We start from the raw sequence: 18,752 nt of genomic DNA, 5'->3' as shown, positions 1-18,752 counted from the left end.
GCTCCCACTTTTCACATGCGCAGGGCAGCCTGTGTGATCAGACCTACTGGTCCTATGGGTTAAGGTCTCCCCTTTGTGTGTCCCCCATTAACACAAAGTGTGGCCGGATGGGGTGGCACCCAGGATATACACAGGTGCACTCACCTGTTCACTAAGCCCCTGGTCTTACCTTCCACAAGCGTCAGCACAGGCTGTTTGACTCCTAACCTGCTGTTTGAAATCACTTTGCTAAATATCTTTGCATTAGAGCAAGTTTCCCTGCAGACCCAGAATCACTGATTCACACGCTGGTGGTTTATTGGGGATACATGTCCAGGAGAAACCACTATTGGAGTCAGGAAAGCAGAACCGAGAAGGGAAAACATCAAGGAAATCTGTGTGATTTTAGGCACAATCCCAGCCTCACTTGATCCCAGGGAGTTCTGGGCTGTGAATAACACCCAGAGCTTGGCCTGCCTGAAGGCAGGGCTAGGCTTTCAGTCTCTGGCTACAGGCTTCGGGAAGGTGGGGACCAGGTGTGTCCCGCTCCCTGCACCTGCAGGGGGAGCATCTGTGGCACAGAGCACCGGGCACCGGCTGTGGAAGTTGGGAGCAGAGCACAAAAGCAGAAAGGGGGACCCGAAGAGACCTGGGCAGGTCCAGGTGCGTGGAGTCAGAAGAACAGACAGTTGGGAAAGGAAGGTGGATGCAAAATGGGGAGAGGAGGGAGAAGCTGGGACCGACGGCACGAGCTGGTGCCCTGAGGACAGACTGAGCCCCGCATCCATTCTTGTTGCCTCTCACCATGATGATGAGGATGTCACCAGCACTGGGCCCTTTATCACGAAGCTGAGCACACACCTGGACCTGGAGAAGCTGTAGGAGGAGCCAGGGCCAGGTGGAGCAGCAGCAGGCTGGTAGCTGCCCCGGGCCATGCAGTGTGCAGTGGAGAGCAACCATGTGTGTGTACGTGCTGCAAGGGGCTGAGGTGGTTTCACCCTCCAGGTCTCACTCGAGGGTCTCTCTCCTGGCCTCCTTCTCGTGGGTTGCATGGTATCCCCCAAAAGATATGTTGAGATGCTAAGCCCCAGGATCTCAGAATGTGACGTTATTTGGAATTAGAGTCATTGCACGTGTAATTAATTGAGGTAATGAGATCATTTAGAATAGGGTGGGCTCCTGATCCAGTAGAACTGTCCTAATAAGGAGAGGGAAACGTGGACACAGACCTGGAGAGGGAAGACGACGGGAAGACACACAGGGAGAAGATGGCCAGGTGGAAATAGAGGCAGAGATTGGGGTGATGCAGCCACAGCCAAGGACGCCTGGGGCTACCAGAAGCTGGAAGGGGCCAGGAAGGCTCCTCCCCCAGAGGTCTGGAGGGAGTGCTACCCTGCTGACATCTTGATTTTGGCCTCCAGGCTTCTGGAACTGTGAGAGAACACATTTCCGTGGTTTTCAGCCATCCAAGCGTTCAGAACTTTGTGACAGCAGCCTCTGGAAACAGCCTCGCAGCAGAAACCCACATGGAAGGCAGTTCTGGAAGTGTGGCTCAGCCAGGCCCCGCAGGAGATCAGAGCCACCCCAGCCTCTGAGATGAATGTCTCCTCCTCACGGAGTTTTGCCAAGCCCCCTCCCTAAACCAGGGAGCCAGTCCTCTGCCCGGCTCCTTCCTGGTGCCAACCACAGTGGCGATTGCATTGGGGCCCTGGACAGCCTTGCCAGGCTCCCTCAGGAGCCTGTCACTCCCTGAGGACAAAGGTACCGTCTGTTTCCTTCTTTTGGTTGCCCCAGGATTCAGCAAAGGGCCAGATTCCTTGTAGGGCCTTTTGTAACTGATGGAGAGAGTGGGGAGTTGCAGGGAGAGAGAAGCGCCCATCCCCAGGGTGGCATTGCAGCCAGCAGGGGCCCAGTGGATGGGAGTGGGGCCTCCCTGGTCTACTGCACTCTGTTGCCCAGGCTGGAGGGCAGTCAGCTGGTCAGCTGATGAACTCGGCTCAAAGAAAACCCAGCTTTTCTTTCCTGTGGGACAGACAGCTCCAAACCCTGGCCCACCAGCTTTCTCTGAGTGTTAATTTATCAGGACAATAATAATCCTCCTATGATTTAGGGTTTGGAGGGATTACCAGGCTGTGGTGGTGCAGCTGATAGGCGTTTATTACCTACTTAACCATTTAAGTAGAACAAAAAAGAAAATCCTTGTTGCACAAAAGGTGATGAATGTTTTTGTTAAAACACTCTATTAAAATGATTCATTAACATGACAAAGAATTGCCCAGTCTCCAGGCACCCTTGAGGAGGTTGGAACATCTGACCAGACAAGCGTTTTTGGGGAACTGCAAGAATTCAGGATTTGCTTCTACTCTGCATGGGGTGGGGGGTGGAGCACCCCCCACCCCATGCAGAGGATGCCCCGCTGCTTTGTGGGATGTGGGTTTTTTTAAGAACCCAGACCCGTGTTCTCCTATGACAGCGCTGCTGCAAACCATATTGCTAAGGGAGCAGCTATGAAGGAGTCCCAGCGGGTTTCCCAAAGTCTGCTACCTATTAGGTCATTTGCTCTCCTTTCCCTTTTAAACAGCAAAGGTGTCAGCTTGGCACGTCACCCCTGTGCCGTCCGATGATAGTGTTAGATCACTCAGGGGCTGACGCATAGTAGGTGGATTCTAAACTTTTAATGAATATAACATGGCAGGAAGTGGCTACCCTGGAGTGATGGACAGCTGGGTCGGGAGGTGGGGAGGCGTGCTTTGGACTGGCCTCGGTTTACATCCTCACTGCCCCGCCCTCGTGTGTGACCTTGAAGAAGTGACTTCTCTCCAAGCTTCAGTTTCCAGTCTGAAAAACGGAGCTCACACCCAGACTTTGTTCCTAGGGCTGTCGCAGGGGTTAAGTGAGAGCACAGTGGCAATGTTCTTGGGCCAGTTCCTGGAAGGAACGTAGCACATTGCCCGGCACAGAGCAAATGCTGAGGAAAGTCACTTGGGGCTGTCTTCAGGCTGGATCAGAAAATTCCTCTTTCAGCAAAGACACCATCTGGCAAGCGCTCTGCAGTCTCCGCCATCCTCTGTAGTTCTGCCAGCTTATTACTGTTTTGTTTTGTTTTAAAAATATAGATGACATTTATCGAGTACTCACTGTTATTTCTCCCTTAATTCTCTCCACAGCCCCATGAGGTAGGTGCTGCCATGAGCCCTATTTTCCAGATGAGGAAAACTGAGGCTTAGAAACAGTTAAGTGGCCCGTCCCAGATCACATGGCCAGTAAGTGACTTGTGCCCAATTTGAACCCTAATCTGTTTGAATCTTTGACTTCGGTATTTACAAATATGTCTTGCCAGCTGGGAGAGGCAGGAAATGGGCAAGTGTTTCTTCAGGAATCAAGAACCAGAATCTTCCGTGCCCTTTATCTCATCGAAGCGCCACGGCAGCACTTCAAAGTAGATGTTTTATTTGTTTTGATTTATGGCTGCTTGCTCATGAGTGTTATTCCTTGGTGAGGAAGGAGAGGTCTTGGGGGAGGCAAGCAGGCTTTGGAGGAAAAAATGCATTTGGGTTCAGCTTCATGATGGAGCTGTGTGACCCAGGGGACGCTGCTTAACCTCTCTGTGCCGCAGCTTTTTCAGTGGTAATCTTGGCACCTACCCTCTAGGGTGGTCCGAGGCACGGTGTCTATGAGGGGCTATGCCCAGTGCCTGCCCACTGTCAGGGCTTGGTAACTGTTGGCTGAGATGATCTGGCAGGACCATGCTGGCCTCCTTGTCATTACTCAGTGGGTGGCGATGATCTATGGGGTTTCCACCACTGCACACTGTTCACACCAGTCTGACCGCTGATAACTCCTCTACTCCCAACAACAGATCTCCCTATTTTCCTTTTAGTTGAAGATGAAATTCATATTTCTATTATCTACTATAGGTGTGTCTGAGAGCAAAAAGGGAAAAACATGTGATTTAAAGCCTGGAATTCAAACCCCTCAAATCTTTGAAGCTACAGCCAGCTGAAAAAAATTGCAGTCAACTGTAGTCATTCATGTTTATCAGGGGGAGAAAAAAAAAAAAAGGTTCACTCCAAACAAAAGCCCTTACCAGGGAGAGGGAAAATATGAGAAGTATTTGGTCGGACGCTTCATTTGCTCCAGAGCCCGCCTCTGAGCGGCTTACCCAGCAAGGCATTCCGGCCGCTGGGGGCTCGACCTGTCCCCCACCCCAGGACGTTATTAAGTTGGAAATAATTAAGGTTGCTAAGTGACTTCACCCCTTGTGAAACTGCTGGAAAGGAATCCAGTCATTGTTTAATTAAAAAATGAAGAAAGAAAGGCTAAGAAGGGCAAAAGAAAAGGGAGGAAGAAAGAAAAAGAAGGAAAAAGGGAAGGAGGGAAGGAAGGAATGGGGAAAGAAAGAGAGGAAAGGGAGCTGTGTGATGTGCTCAGGGAATGGGCTCAGAGGCTAGGTAGGGGCATCTCTTCCTATCACGCAAGACTCCATCTCCTGCTCAGCTGCACTGCGGTCCCTGCCTTTGCACGCCCCTGTGGCCATCATCCCTCCTGGCACCACTGTTTAGGCAGCTGCCTCCTTCCTGCCACCAGGGAGGAACAAAGTGAACCTGGAGTTCTCCTGGCGTCAGATGCCAGCTTCTAAAGGCTCAAAGGGGCCCAGTTAACACACTGAGCAGGAGTTCCAATTCAAGAGTGGCTCCTGCGCTTCCCAGCCGTGTGGCCTGGGGAAACATCTTTTAACCCCAATGAAGCTGCCATTTTTGTAGGTTAAAACGGTCAGATATCAGCAATTCCATAAGGTCCCACCTGAATTGCTTAAAAGGAAAGAGCGTAGGAGTGCTTTTCAAATGGGCAAATGTCGTCCTACTATGAGGCAGTAACGCGTTCCCCATGCAGTCACTGAGTATCTCTGAGATGTCAGTGTGGGGCTAAGTTGGTACGTAGTGTGGACCTGCTTAATCCTTGTAGCAACCCCAAAAATGGATGTGGCTGTTTCGCCATGTTGTAGATGAGGCAGCTGAGGCTCAAACAGCCCAAATCTCATGCCTCAGGACGTTCTACTAGAATGTGAAGCAGCTAGGATTTGAACCCAGGTAGTCTGGCTTCAGAGCCTGGGCCCTTCACTATTAATTAGTCAACCATCAATTAATTAAATCAATACATTCATTTGTTCAGGAAATACTTATGGAGTTTTCTTTTAATGGACCATGTACTGTTCTAGGCATTAGAAATGCAGTGATAAGGAAGAAAGAGACTCTTCCATGGAGAAAGACAACATGTGGCAGATAAATAAAAGGTATTACAGACAATGGTTGACCCCAGGGGGAGAGATTTTGCTAGGGTGGTCTGGGTGGTGATACAGAAGGAAGAGGCAGCGTAGCTGGAACATCTGGAATGGGGCAAAGTGATACTGGCAGGCAGCAAGTTGCGGGGGGCAATTGTGGGCTGTGGCATGGACTTCCGGGGCCACAGTCCAGGCAGATGTAGCCTGGACCCAGGGCAGAAGTGGGTAGGGTCAGACTCTACCTTGAAGGTAGAAGCAGCAGGACCTGCTGATGACTTAGATGCGTGGGAAAGAAAAGGCTATTATTTTTGTTATCCCAAGTCCACAGCTAGTAAGTTGCAGAGCAAGGACTGGAAGCCAGGCTCTTCATATGGGGCAAATATTCCCTTCGCCATTCATTACACAAGCATTTATTGAGTTTTGTGCCAGGTGCTGAGACAGCCCTGTTCTGCCCTTCCAGAGCTTCTATTCTCCAGGGGAAGGCAGACTCCAAGCCACAAAAGTCATTGGGACCCATACAATTATGTAGGTGCAAAGAAGCGGGGTGCCCCAACACGCAGCAAGGGGATGGACCCCATCACTCCAGGCTTCCTGGGGCCTGCAGAGGGGCAAAGTTGGACTATAAAGATAGCTGGCTGGGTGCAGTGGCTACGCCTATAATCCCAGCACCTTGGGAAGCCAAGGTGGGTGGATCACAAGGTCAGGAGTTCGAGACCAGCCTGGCCAACATAGTGAAACACTGTCTCTACTAAAAATATAAAAATTAGCCAGGTGTGGTGGCATGCGCCTGTAGTCCCAGCTGCTAGGGAGGGTGAGGCAGGAGAATCACTGGAACCCAGGAAGCGGAGGTTGCAATGAGCCAAGACTGCGCCATTGCACTCCAGCCTGGGCCACAGGGTGAAACTCTGTCTCAAAAAAAAAAAAAAAAGCCAACACCTTCTGATGCGTCCCAGAGGCCAGGGAGTATGCTGAAAAGTTTAAATCTATTATCTTATGTCAATCTTTATAAGAACCCTGGGAGGCTGGGTGCGGTGGCTCACACTTGTAATGCCAGCACTTTGGGAGGCTGAGGCAGGTGGATCACTTGAGTCCAGGAGCTTGAGACCAGCCTGGGCAACATGGTGAAACCCCATCTCTACAAAAAAAAAAAAAAAAAAAAAATTAGCTACACATGGTGGCACGCACCTGTAGTCCCAGCTACTTGTGGGGCTGAGGCACGAGTATTGCTTGAGCCCAGGAGGTCAAAGCTGCAGTGAACCATGATTGCACCACTGCACTCCAGCCTGGGTAACAGAACAAGACCCTGTCTCAAAACCACAACATCAAGAAAAACAACCCCCAAAACAACAAAAGCCTAGGAGGAGGAAACTATTTTTACTCCCTCTTTACAGATGAGAAAATCCAAGTTTTGGGGTGGTGGGGGCAGGTTGCCCAAGGTCACACCGCTGGCAGAGCTGGGACTCAAACCTTGGGGCTCAGATCCTAAACTTCACCCCTTCCCTCTCTGCTCAAAGTTCTGTGATATCAGCCCCTTCTCATCACTTCTTAGAGACAAAGAGATGTGATTAACAAACCAATATGTCAAATACTAAGCATGTTCTACCTCCAGACAGTCTCTGGTGATGGAAGCAGGTGTGTTTGGGGGCAGGGTAGAAGGTTTGAGCTGAGCAAAATTTGATGAAAGTCCAGAATTTTGCATGGCTTTTAATTACTTTCAGATTTAATAGAATATCATTTGGTGTGATTTATTCTACTCAAAGATTGATTAGTAATACAACTTGAATTGTATTCCATTTCCCCCACACAATTTAAGATGAGTTAGTGCCAAATAAAGACTAACCCTAAAACCTGTTTCTTTAAAGAGCCCCAGTCGCCCTTGTTCTCATGCACTTGGAAAGGAGAAATTGTGCCTCCACCAGTCAGACAGCAATTTGATCCTTCCTGAACCTCAAACAAATGAGGGTCCTTCCCATCTCAGCGGCGGTGGGTGCTTTAATGGGGTCTGAGTCACCTCCTCCTAGCCCAGGGTTTCTCGACCTCAGCACTATTCTCTTCTGGGCCAGATCCTCCACTGTTGGGGGGCCCATCCTGTGCATCAGAGGGTGTTAAGCCACATCCTTGACCTTCACCCACTAAATGCCAGTAGCACCCCCTTTCCCCAGTTGTGACAGCAAAAATGTCCCTAGACACTGCTCCATGTTCTCTGTGGGGGCACAATTGCCCCCTGCTGAGAACCACCGATTGCTTTTGTGGGGAACCAGAGCATGTTCTTCAGAGGCAAACTTAAAATCTCACTCAAAAGTGGGGAAACTCCCTCTGAGGGATAAATCACAACTTTTCATTTTTTAGAGACAGGGTCTCGCTCTGTTGCCCAGGCTGGAATGCAGTGGCGTGATCATAGGTCACTGCAGCCTCAAACTCCTGGGCTCAAGGGATCCTCCCACCTCCGCCCGAGTAGCTGGGACTACAAACATGTGCCTCCATGCCCAGCTATTTTTTCTTTCTTATTTGTTTTGTAGAGAGATGAGGTTTCACTACATTGCCCAGGCTGAACTCGAACTCCTGGGATCAAGCTATCCTCCCACCTCGGCCTCCCAAAGTGTTGGGATTACAGGCATGAGCCACCATGCCCGGCTTGTTTCCTTATTTCTTTTGTCACTGTTGCTACATGGAGAGCATCCTTCAGGTGCCACTGGGGGACCCTCAGAGGACGGACACCTGCAGACATTGGGGCTTAAGAAGGGTGCGGGGCAGGCAGCTACTTGTGCCCTGGTAGCGGTTCGTATCTTTCCATCTGTTTCTTCCCCTCTATATCCTGGATTCTGCATGAACCAAAGGGCCCCCTGAGGCCTCAAGATGAAAAGTAAAGTGGTCAGAAATGTGCCTCCCTTAATGCAGTTGGAGTTCTTGGGCCGGGGAACACATGTTGTTCCATTTAGTGGATTTGCTCTACCAGCTTCTGGGTGTTCAGCTTTTGGGAACCCCTAACCCTCCAGGATGACGTTTGATGTTACTGTGTGTGTGTCCCTAACACTCTGCAGGCAGTAATTATAGAAATTTGCGGGACGGTCCTCGTCTCGACGACCCCCTCCCCCTTTTCCATCTCAGACAACAAATAAAACAGCCCAGCTCTCCTTTGCGGCAGGACCACCAGGGCTGAGCAAAGGGCCGCCGGCCCCTCCCCAGGGTCCCTCGCGCTCCCCACTTGGCTCTTTCAAGGGCGTTTCAATGAGCAGCCTTGTTGAGACTTCCACTAGGGCCCGGCCTAGAAGGGACCATTAAAAACAGTTTCATCAGAACAAAAGAGGTTCTGTTCTTATTGTCCCCCTGGCTGCAGTTTGGATGCAGCAGCTGAAAATCTATCTGGACCGAGCAACAAATCTGGACTCAACCACACTGTGGAGTTCACCCTCAGTAGGGATTTCTGGGTGGATCCTTGGAGCAGATAATTTACAGCTAAAGCAAAACACAAGGAGAAGCTTTTTATTTGGCACAAATGTTTTCTATTAAAAGCCTTCGGAAGCCCTGGTAACTGGAGCTCTCTTCTTCTTACACGAGCTTGAGGTGATTGTATTCCTGCACACAGAGCCCCTCAGAAGAATTCCTGGTTTGAATGCCAGTCTCGTCTGCGAGGAGGAGCGTGGAGCTGCGCTATGAAAGATCGCACGGAGCCCAGAGCATGTGGAAGGGGAGTGTCTTTGGGTTGATTTTAAATGCCGGTCCTGAAAGCTTTGTGGTTGGTGATTTTCTGCTGCTGAGATGCACCAAACAGGCAGGGGCGTTTGTGGTCTGGACACAGGGAGAATTGCCCCAGAGTAGAACTGTTTGTCTGTCATGGGGGATGGAAACTTTTGTGGCCAGCTTTCTGGGACATCAGATGAGGTCAGTGCCACCAATTCCATGGAATGGACTGCCTAAAAGAAGTTATTTTAAAATTTATGTTTGTTTTAAAAAAGTTATTTTTAGGCTGGCTGTGGTGGCTCACACCTGTAATCCCAGCACTTGGGGAAACCGAGGCCAGTGGATCACCTGAGGTCAGGAATTCGAAACCAGCTTGGCCAATATGGCAAAACCCCGTCTCCACTAAAAATACAAAAAAATTAGCCGGGTGTGGTGGTGGGCGCTTGTAATCCCAGCTTCTTGGAAGGCTGAGGCAGGAGAATCGCTTGAACTCAGGAGACAGAGGTTGCAGTGAGCCGAGATCATGCCACTGTACTCCAGCCTCAGTGACTTAGGGAGACTCTGTTTCAAAACAAAACAAAACAAAAAGTTTTTGAATTTTTTTTTTTGCTGTATTACCAAAGATGAAATTTCGAGAGATGACTAGTTTCAGTAGCTTATTTAGTTTGACCTCTGGAAACCTCATGCAGATTTCCAGAATGGTCATTTTCAAAGCTGCCAGTTAGTGTCTGTGTGCAGGGCCTAGTGCAGCTCAGAGCCACTTTCATTCGGGTCATGAATTTGTCGAAACAGAGGAGTCGCAGGAGCCCGTTTTGCTGTTCTGGATTCTCAACTCTAGGAAACACGTCCCTGCAAGGCCCTGAAGATGACCCCCAAGTGCAAACAAGAACCAGCCAGAAAGCTACAGGCCAACAGGTGTATCACAGCATTTCTGAGAATTCTATATCAGATGGACGTCAGCAGTGTTGCTTTCCCTGTGCCCAACAACCAGGATATTCCTGGAGTCTGTTTTTCTTTCTCCCTTGAGGAATTCAGAAGTGCCCTCCTGAGGAAATATCAACTGCGAGGCCAACATGAAGAGTGGTACTGGCTGCCAGTCATTTCTTTCTTTCTTTTTCTTTCTTTTTTTTTTTTTTTTTTTGAGACAGAGTCTCGCTCTGTTGCCCAGGCTGGACTGCAGTGGGGGTGATCTCAGCTCATTGCAACCTCTGCCTCCTGGGTTCAAGCAATTCTCCTGCCTCAGCCTCCCGAGTAGCTGGGATTACAGGCGCCCGCCACCACACCTGACTAATTTTTGTATTTTTAGTAGAGACAGGGTTTCACCATGTTGACCAGGCTGGTCTTAAACTCCTGACTTTAAGTGATCTGCCCGCCTCAGCCTCCCAAGTGCTGGGATTACAGGCGTGAGACACTGTGCCCGGCCAGTTGTCATTTCTTAAGTTGATTTTGTGTTAGGCACTTTCCATGGATTATCTCATTGGTTCTTCCCAGCAATCTGAGGGAGATAGATGAGAGAAATAATTCAGCCCATTTTACAAATGAGAAAACAGAGACCTAGAAAGGTTTGGCAAATTGTCCAGGATCGCATGGTGAGCAAATGGCAGATTCTGATTCAGGAGTCCTGGGTGGGCTGAGGTCCTGCTCCTGGTGGTGCTGAAACCCCATTTCTACTAAAAAGACAAAAATTAGCCAGGCACGGTGGCAGGTGCCTGTAGTTCCAGCTACTCGGGAGGCTGAGGCAGGAGAATCGCTTGAACCCGGGAGGTGGAGGTGGCAGTGAGCCGAGATCGCACCACTGCACTCCAGCCTGGGCGACAGAGCGAGACTCCGTCTCTTAAAAAAAAAAAAAAAAGGAATGCTCTTCCCCAGTGATGTGAGCGGCTCCCTCCCCTCTGTCCTCAGGGGTCTCTGCTCAGATCCGGGGCTTTTCCTGATTATTATAGCTAAAGTGGCATCCTTGTCCCTCTCTGCACCCCTGCCCTGTGTTACTGGGCCCAGTCTAACAGCCCTGTTAGGGTAAAAGTCCCATGTGCGGAGAAGTTTGGTCCATGTTGTTCACTCCTGTACGCACCACACTCAGAATAAGGTCTGGCACATGGTAATACTCACTAAATAATTAATGCAAGAGGATAGAATGAACCCCTAGAAGAATCTATTCAAAAAGCAGACAAAAGGAGTTTAAATTCAAAGTAGGAACAAAGACGGGCACAAAAACCAACACACAAACAAAACCCAGCGGCAAGCGAGGGCTGCTCCCTGATTGAGCAGCTGTGTCGAGTCCCCGCTACCTGCCAGGTGTTGAACCAGGAGGCAGGAGCCTGTGGCAGATGGTCTCATGACGGAGGTGGATGAGAAGTCAGGAACCACACTGGACTGAGTTAGGGCCGCAGCTGAAAAAGAGCAGGGGATCTGTGAACTCCTCTATTGATCAAGTGTTCATTGAACACTGACTGTATGCAGAGTCCCGTGTTAGACACAGAAAGTACAAAACAGCATATGCGGCATGTCCTCTAGGAGCTCACAAACCAACGGGCATGTGGCACCCAGTGCTAATGACCTGCAAACCCATGCCAGCACAGAAATTCAGAGCTGGAGAGGTCGTTGTCCGGGGTAAGCATCTGCTCCCCAGGGCCTCTGTCTACAGAACCCCAGTTCAGCTGGGTGCTTGGCCATCAAGGGGGGTTTTTGATCAAATTTTCTTTTCTTTTCTGTTCTTTTCTCTCTCCTCTTCTCTTTCCCTTTCTTTCTTTCTTTCGTTCTTTCATTCTTTCCTTTTTTTGAGATTGCATTTTGCTCTTGTCGCCCAGGCTGGAGTGCAATGGCGCCATCTCGGCTCACTGCAACCACTGCCTCCAGGGTTCAAGTGATTCTCCTGCTTCAGCCTTCTGAGTAGCTGGGATTACAGGGGCCCACCACCACACCCAGCTAATTTGTGTATTTTTAGTAGAGATGGGGTTTCGCCATGTTGGCCAGGCTGGTCTTGAATTCCTGACCTCAGGTGATCTGCCCCCCTCTGCCTCCCAAAGTGCTGGGGTTACAGGTGTGAGCCACCATGCCCAGGAAAATTTGGTTTCCTTTTTACTGACCCAGTGCCCCTTCCTGGATTCAGGTGATGGCGTCCCCCTGCTTTGGGGAAATGGTGCCTGCCCTACCATATGGGTCTCTGGTGGGGCTGACCCAGTGCCCTGACCTCCACCCTGACTCAGAGGTGAGCAGACAAGGCTGGGAAATCCAGGTGCTCCCTTCCCCGTTTGCCATTACTGGTGCGCAAGGTAAGCCAAGACCTGGACATTCTCTCCTGGGAGCAAGAGGCTCTCTCTCTCTCTTCCCAGGGTCGCTTGCTGGCCTTGACATATGGCAATGCAGAGGAAACCTCTCTGTGGTAGGAAATAATGAAGCCAGCATTCAGATAGATGCCGAGTTGAAAGATGGAGACAGAAAGAAATGGAGCCCCAGAGACAGAGGTCACTCCATGAGCCCCTGGGCACAGCGTTGATAGGACTTCCCCCTTAGGGAAACCACTCTGAGTTGGGCATTGAGCCGTTTTGAGTTGGGTTTCTGACACTTGCACATGATAGATCTCTGACTTAATATAACAGCTTGTGAAACACTCTACCCTCTCCTCCCTAATTAAAGACAGAGAATGTAATTCCAGCACTTTGGGAGGCTGAGGCGGGTGGATCACAAGGTCAAGAGATCAAGACCATCCTGGCCAACATGGTGAAAACCCATCTCTACTAAAAATACAAAAATTAGCTAGGCGTAGTGGTGCGTGCCTGTAGTCCCAGCTACTTGGGAGGCTGAGGCAGGAGAATTGCTTGAACTCAGGAGGCGGAGGGTGCAGTGAGCTGAGATTGCGCCACTACACTCCAGCCTGGTGACAGAGCAAGACTCCGTCTCAAAAAAAAAAAAAAAAAAAAAAAAAATTGAGAAGTCCTGCAGTGAAGAAACATGTTTCCCTTTCTGGAGCCCATCGTTTCTTAAACTTACTTGACAGAAAGTCATTTTCCCTCACAACATGTGCAAACATTTTGGTGAACCGGAGAAAGAGAGAGGGTCCTCCATGCAGTGAAACATTGAAGGCATGGAGGTGATATTTGCAACACGAAACTCGTCTGGAAAACGGGGCTTTGGAGTGGCTCCTTGAAGCCAGACGTAGAGAATTATCTAGATGAAACCTTCCTGTGCTGCTGTAGAACTTAGCTCCTGAGTAAAGAATTTTGTGTCTACATGGGGCCATTTTCACAACACGACTTTTTTGAGTCACGTTCTGTTGTTTTATCTATAAAAATTCTGCCTCGGAGACAGGCCTGCTTTTTAAACACAGGGTGGTTTTATCTGCTCAGCCTGTTTATTGCTTCATGCCAAGAAGGCTTTCTGAAGTCACAGATGCCTTGAACCTCTAAGCAAGGGACTCAAAATGCCCACACTAGATTGATTTCTTTTCTCTCCTTAAAAAAATGGAAATAAAAGAACCAAATGTCTGTAAATTGAATTTTCTGGTTATAATGAGGCTTTTGAACCCCTGTAAATCATCCTTTTGTTTCTCTGGTTCCCACCCCACCCCGCCAGCAAATTCCTACATGGCATTTGGGGATGAAAGAATATTACCCCATAAAAACAAAATCAGGGCTCCAGTGCCAGAGATGTGGAGGTTGTAAGGAGCCATGGATTACGGTGGGGTCCAGAGAAGGGAGGTGGTGGTGGCTTGAGGTGTAGGACAGCTTCTACCCTTCACTGGAGTCCTAAAGAAAAAACCCTGGACTTGGTATCTAAACAGCAGCCTCAGGAAATGGTCTGGGTCTAAGGTGACCACAATCTTTTGCAAACTCTTTGATGTCTGGGAACATCATGTTTCCCGGCTTTGCAGATGCAGGCAGCTCACTGGGAGCTTGTTGGAAGCAGAGATGGGTGGGGCAGAAGTCTGGCTGAGGAGGGTCACTGAGACTTGGAAGAGGAGAACAGACCAGGGCCAGCAATGCCCATGTCTGGAGACTCTGTTCGGGGACAGGGGCCCCAGCTGGAAGTTGGGTCAGAGTTCTTTGGGCTGTGAGAGGCACTGACTCGAGCCACCCCAAGGAATGTGGTGGGATCATAAAGACACTTGTGTCTGGGGACCTGGGCACAGGGAAACATCGACTCCAGGAAAAGCCGGAGTTAGGAGGGGCTTCTGGAGCCAAGCATCCCAGATGCTCTTGTGGGTCACCACAGGGCCTTTGCACCCACCGTTGCCTCTACCCACAGTCCCCTCCCCCTGCTCCTCCTAGGCCTGGCTTTGGAGACCTCCCCTCCTCAGAGAGGCCTTCCCACCCTCTGCTCTCAGCCTCTCGCTGGGCTTTCTTTTTCTCCATGCACTTGTCAGTCACTCCTGCTTCTCGTCCATCTCCCCTAACTAAAATACCTGTGTGAAAAGTCTTGAATATCTTTTCACTGCTGCCGTCTCATGGTCTGAAAGAGACTGTCACATGGTGGGAATAAATTAATATATATGTGAATGAATCAATGAATGAATAAAATTTCAGAGCTGCTGGGTACAGTTGCTGAGAGTGTGTACTGCACAACTCCAGAGGTCACCGTTCTCAAAGGCAAGAATAGGAATGTTGATCCCAGAGTGCACAGTGTACAACATACACTACTGGACCCCAGTGGCCTGAGCTCCTTTATAAGGCCAGCTTGCTCACCACCCATCATGGCCACACTTTCTACCTCTTGACCTGGCCTCATTCCTGTAACCTCGTTTTCTCTGGATTTCCTATTTCAAATACCCAAGGAAGTGAATCTGATAACTCTGGATAGTTGTCTTGCCTCAAGCTAGGTCATCAGTCACTCTGGGCAGCTTGGAAAATGGCCTTCACATGACATCCTCTATCCTGATTATTTCTGGCTGGGGGGAGGGCAAGGTTGCCTGTGGTGGCCACCTGTGTGTGCAGCCTGCCTGGACCCATGCAAATACTTCACACACAATGTCTCATTTTAACCCCACGACATCCCAACAAGGCAGCACATTTAGTTATTTATTTATCTATTTATATCTGAGATGGAGTTTTGCTCTTGTTGCCCAGGCTAGACTGCAATGGCACAATCTCAGCTCACTGCAACCTCCTCCTCCAGGGTTCAAGTGATTCTCCTGCCTCAGCCTCCCGAGTAGCTGGGATTACAGGCATGCACCACCACACCCAGCTAATTTTGTATTTTTTAGTAGAGACCGGGTTTCACCATAGTGGTCAGGGTGGTCTTGAACTTCTGACCTCAGGTGATCCACCCACCTTGGCCTCCCAAAGTGCTGAGATTATAGGCGTGAGCCACTGTGACTGGCCAGGTAGCACTATAATTATACCTACTTTACAGGTGAGGAAATGGGCTCAGAGACTGCTATCAGGCTGGCTGAATTAAAACATGGTTCCATTGCTTTCTGGCAGTAGAACTGATTAATCTGAGCCTCAATTTCCTCATCTGTAAAATGGGCACAAAAATATCTATTTCAAAAGAGTTGTGAGGATGAAAGGAGGTGATGCAGATAACTGGACCAGACGTCTAGACTATTAGCCGTCGTTGGTACTGATGTCTGTTGGTGTGCTGTCCTTCCCTCCGACTTGGAAGTGCTTGATGCCACTGTCTGCAGTGATGCCAGGGGTAGGAGGAGCTTGCATATGCTCTGAACACTGGAAAAAATTGTTTTTTAGGGTTTGTATTCCGAGGCTCAGTTGTCTGGGGCACGAGTGCTTGAAGGAGAAGAGAAGAGAAAAGCACACTGGAATGCTTGCATACGTGCTCCGGCAAGTTTGCATCTGACTCTCAAGGCTGTTTCGTCACCTGATCTCCCAGTGACTCTGAGATGTGTGATGAGTCCAGCTCAAGGAGTGGGGAGCTCAGGGGCATGCCCACTGCCACTCAGCAGGTGAGTGACAATCTCAAGTCAGGCAGTATTCCAGACAGAAACCAAGATGTGCTCACAGAGAGTTCATTCACTCATTCAGCAAAGATTCATTGAGTATCAACTACATACGGCACACCGCTCTGGGCTCTATTCACGGTAGTGAACAAATCAGACCAAAACACATGCCCACATTTCCATGGCAGGAGAGAGACAATGAACAAATAAACATGTAACTATTGTATTTCAGGTGGTGGTGTTAAGAGGAAAAGAAACATGGGTTGCTTCTGATAGACGGGCAAGGGAAAGCTTTAATGGTGAAATATTTGAGCAGAGACCCAGAGGAGGTGAAGGAGGTGAATATCAGTATGAGCCTTCCAGGCAAATGGCACAGCAAGTGCAAAGGCCCTGAGGCTTTTTGCAGAACCAAGGACACAGCTGATGCTTCTTGCTTTATGCGTAAAAGCCCCTTAGTGTAGAATTGCCAAACAGAATACACCGTGAAAGGTTAAGTTTGCATTTTAGATAAACAAAGGCTCATTGTTAGTGTAAGTATGTCCCTTGCAATTTGGGACATATTTATTCTAAAAAAATTAGTCATTGTTTATCTAAAATTCAGATTTAACTGGATAGCCTATATTTTTTATTTGCCACATCTGGCAACTCAACTCAGTGGTTTGTTATCATGTGAGCTCTGGAAATAAAAATCTCAGGCTGGCTTTACAGGGGCAACTGGCTGGGTGAAATAGGGGATCAGAATTGGGTCATCCAGGCTTGAATGCTGGCTTTGTCGTTTGTTAGTCATGCTTCTTGGCCAAGTCCTTTGACCCCTGGGCCTCCAGATCTTCATCTGTGAAATGGGAGATACTGCATCCAATTTCAGGGCGATTAGAAGACGAGAGCTAATCAGCAAAGCTTGGACATCAGATAGCTGTGTCATTCATGCTAACTCTTATTAGTTGTTGCATCATATGTAAGATGAGCTCAAATCTGTTAATCTTCCCATACGATCTTTTCACATGAGTTGGGACTAACCTGTTATATTTAGAGTAATGGTTTACCAATGGGGAGGGAATAAAGATAAAACTCGAAGTAAAAGAAAGAATACAATTTTTTAAATGAGGAGAAACACAGTGAAGGAGAGGAGAGAAGGAAGAAAACAACAGAGATGGAGAGAAGCACGACGTGGGGTGGTGAGGAGTTCCCAGGACTCTGGGAGCGAGGAGCCCAGTCTAATCCCTGATTCACTGTAAGACTTTGGGCCCAGCAGTTTCTCTTTGGGTGTCAATTTCTCTATCTTCAAGATGAAGGAATTGAACCACGCTTCTGCAGGACTTTTGTTGTAACTGACTGGAAACTCCGTACACAATGGCTTAAACTGAACAGTCCTGGGTGGGGCTGGCTTCAGGGATAGTGGGCTCCAGGGGCTCACTGATGCTGTCAGTCTCCTGCCTTTTCTTGTTTTACTGTCTTGTGGCTTCTCTCACAGGGCAGGCTCTCCCTGAAGGGAGGGAAGATGACAGCCAGCAGCAGCCCCTGACCTAGCAACCCCAGTGGGAGGAGAGACCCCTTTACCGGTAGTTCTAGCAAAAGTTCTAAAAGTTGAATCTCACTGGCCTGGATTAGGTCACATGACTGTCACTGAACCCATCGCATGGGCATCTCTGGTTGACCAGGCTGGGTCATGTGCCCAGTCTGAATTTTAGAGAAGAGGATAGTTCAACCTGAAATACAGGGACTGATGGTGAAGAAGGGGCATTTCTACTGAGGAAAACAGAGGAAATCTTGGCCAGGCACAGTGGCTTATGCCTGTAATCCCAGCACTTTGAGAGGCCAAGATGGATGGATTGTTTGAGGCCCGGAGTTCAAGACCAGTCTGGCCAGCGTGGTGTAACCCTGTCTTCTACTAAAAATACAAAAATTAGCCAGGCATGGTGGTGCACACCTGTAATTCCAGCTACTCGGGGGGCTGAGGAGGGAGAATTGCTTGAAACCGGGAGGCAGAGGTTACAGTGAGCTGAGATTGTGCCATTGCACTCCAGCCTGGGTGACAGAGGGAGACTCTGTCTAAAAAAAAAAAGAAAAGAAAAGAAAACAGAGGAAATATTTGCAGAAGAAGGAGAAAAGGCAGGGGTCTCAAATTAGGTGAGCTTCCAAAGTGTTTTCTGTGGAACCCTGGGAGCAGAGAAAATGGTAGTGAAAAGAAACAGGCCTGGGGACTCTGGGCCCCTGCTGGGATCACCTGATAACAGGCAGGGTGTCCAGTCCGATTTGAACTTCAGATAAACAACGAGTAAATTTCAGTATGAGTATATATAATACATATACTCCAATATAATGGGATATAGTCATACTAAAATTCATTCATTGTTTATCTGAAATTCAAATTGAACTGGACACCTATTTTTTTTTTTGCTAAATGTGGTAACCCTAGTCCCTCCCCTGCTCTATGTAACCAAAGAAGCTCTGTTTCTGTTTTCTGTGTCGAGCATGTGTGAAAAACTCCTTGACCAAAAGTTTTAGCGCTGCACAAAAGAGAAGGCCTGTATCCTTTTAACTGACATGATTGCCATGCCCTCTCCAGCTCCCCAGTGCTGTATCCAGCAGGGCTTCTGGCTGCAGGCAACAGAAACCAGCTTGGGCAGGCTGGTGCGGAAAAGGAGACCACTAGAGGATCTTGGGGGCTCACAGAACCCCTGGGAAGGCCAGAGAACCAGGCTTGGGGGCTCTCTAGTTGGGACACGGCCCCAGATCACTCTGCAGAATAGTCTGGGCCTGCACTGATAGCTTCTGGGGTGGGTGCCTCTGACTGGCTGAAACTTGGTCACCTGTCAGGGCTCTGGCTGCAAAGCAGGCTAGACAGTGCCTCTCTGGATATTCACCAGATGGGGCATCCTCAACCATAAGAGAGGGCTCAGATCTAGCTGGGAGGAGGGA

General features: G+C 49.1%; 1 long non-coding RNA gene across 1 annotated transcript in view, besides 3 other annotated features; it reads left to right on the top strand.

Moving 5' to 3' along the window:
- The window catches only part of LOC105372687 (uncharacterized), a 55,307-nt gene extending 37,920 nt beyond the window's left edge, over positions 1-17,387 (top strand). Inside the window, exons 8-12 of the long non-coding RNA XR_007067670.1 lie at positions 1,401-1,740; positions 3,147-3,242; positions 5,198-5,272; positions 15,625-15,839; positions 17,305-17,387. This is a non-coding gene — a long non-coding RNA (uncharacterized LOC105372687). The remainder of the gene's footprint in view (positions 1-1,400; positions 1,741-3,146; positions 3,243-5,197; positions 5,273-15,624; positions 15,840-17,304) is intronic.
- Positions 217-1,184: an enhancer, noted in NCBI's record as "H3K4me1 hESC enhancer chr20:55865617-55866584 (GRCh37/hg19 assembly coordinates)". NCBI's record gives its function as "activates a minimal SCP1, AML or CMV promoter by ChIP-STARR-seq in naive H9 embryonic stem cells {active_cell/tissue: H9 hESC(naive)}" and the evidence as "EXISTENCE:reporter gene assay evidence [ECO:0000049][PMID:30033119]".
- Positions 3,811-4,310: an enhancer, noted in NCBI's record as "H3K4me1 hESC enhancer chr20:55862491-55862990 (GRCh37/hg19 assembly coordinates)". NCBI's record gives its function as "activates a minimal SCP1, AML or CMV promoter by ChIP-STARR-seq in primed H9 embryonic stem cells {active_cell/tissue: H9 hESC(primed)}" and the evidence as "EXISTENCE:reporter gene assay evidence [ECO:0000049][PMID:30033119]".
- Positions 4,311-4,812: an enhancer, noted in NCBI's record as "H3K4me1 hESC enhancer chr20:55861989-55862490 (GRCh37/hg19 assembly coordinates)". NCBI's record gives its function as "activates a minimal SCP1, AML or CMV promoter by ChIP-STARR-seq in primed H9 embryonic stem cells {active_cell/tissue: H9 hESC(primed)}" and the evidence as "EXISTENCE:reporter gene assay evidence [ECO:0000049][PMID:30033119]".
- Positions 17,388-18,752: the final 1,365 nt, after the last annotated feature.

This window comes from Homo sapiens, chromosome 20, assembly GCF_000001405.40.
Source record: "Homo sapiens chromosome 20, GRCh38.p14 Primary Assembly".
Taxonomy (NCBI): domain Eukaryota; kingdom Metazoa; phylum Chordata; class Mammalia; order Primates; family Hominidae; genus Homo; species Homo sapiens.
Note: the sequence above shows the minus strand (reverse complement) of the source record. Positions and strands in the feature narration are given on the sequence as shown.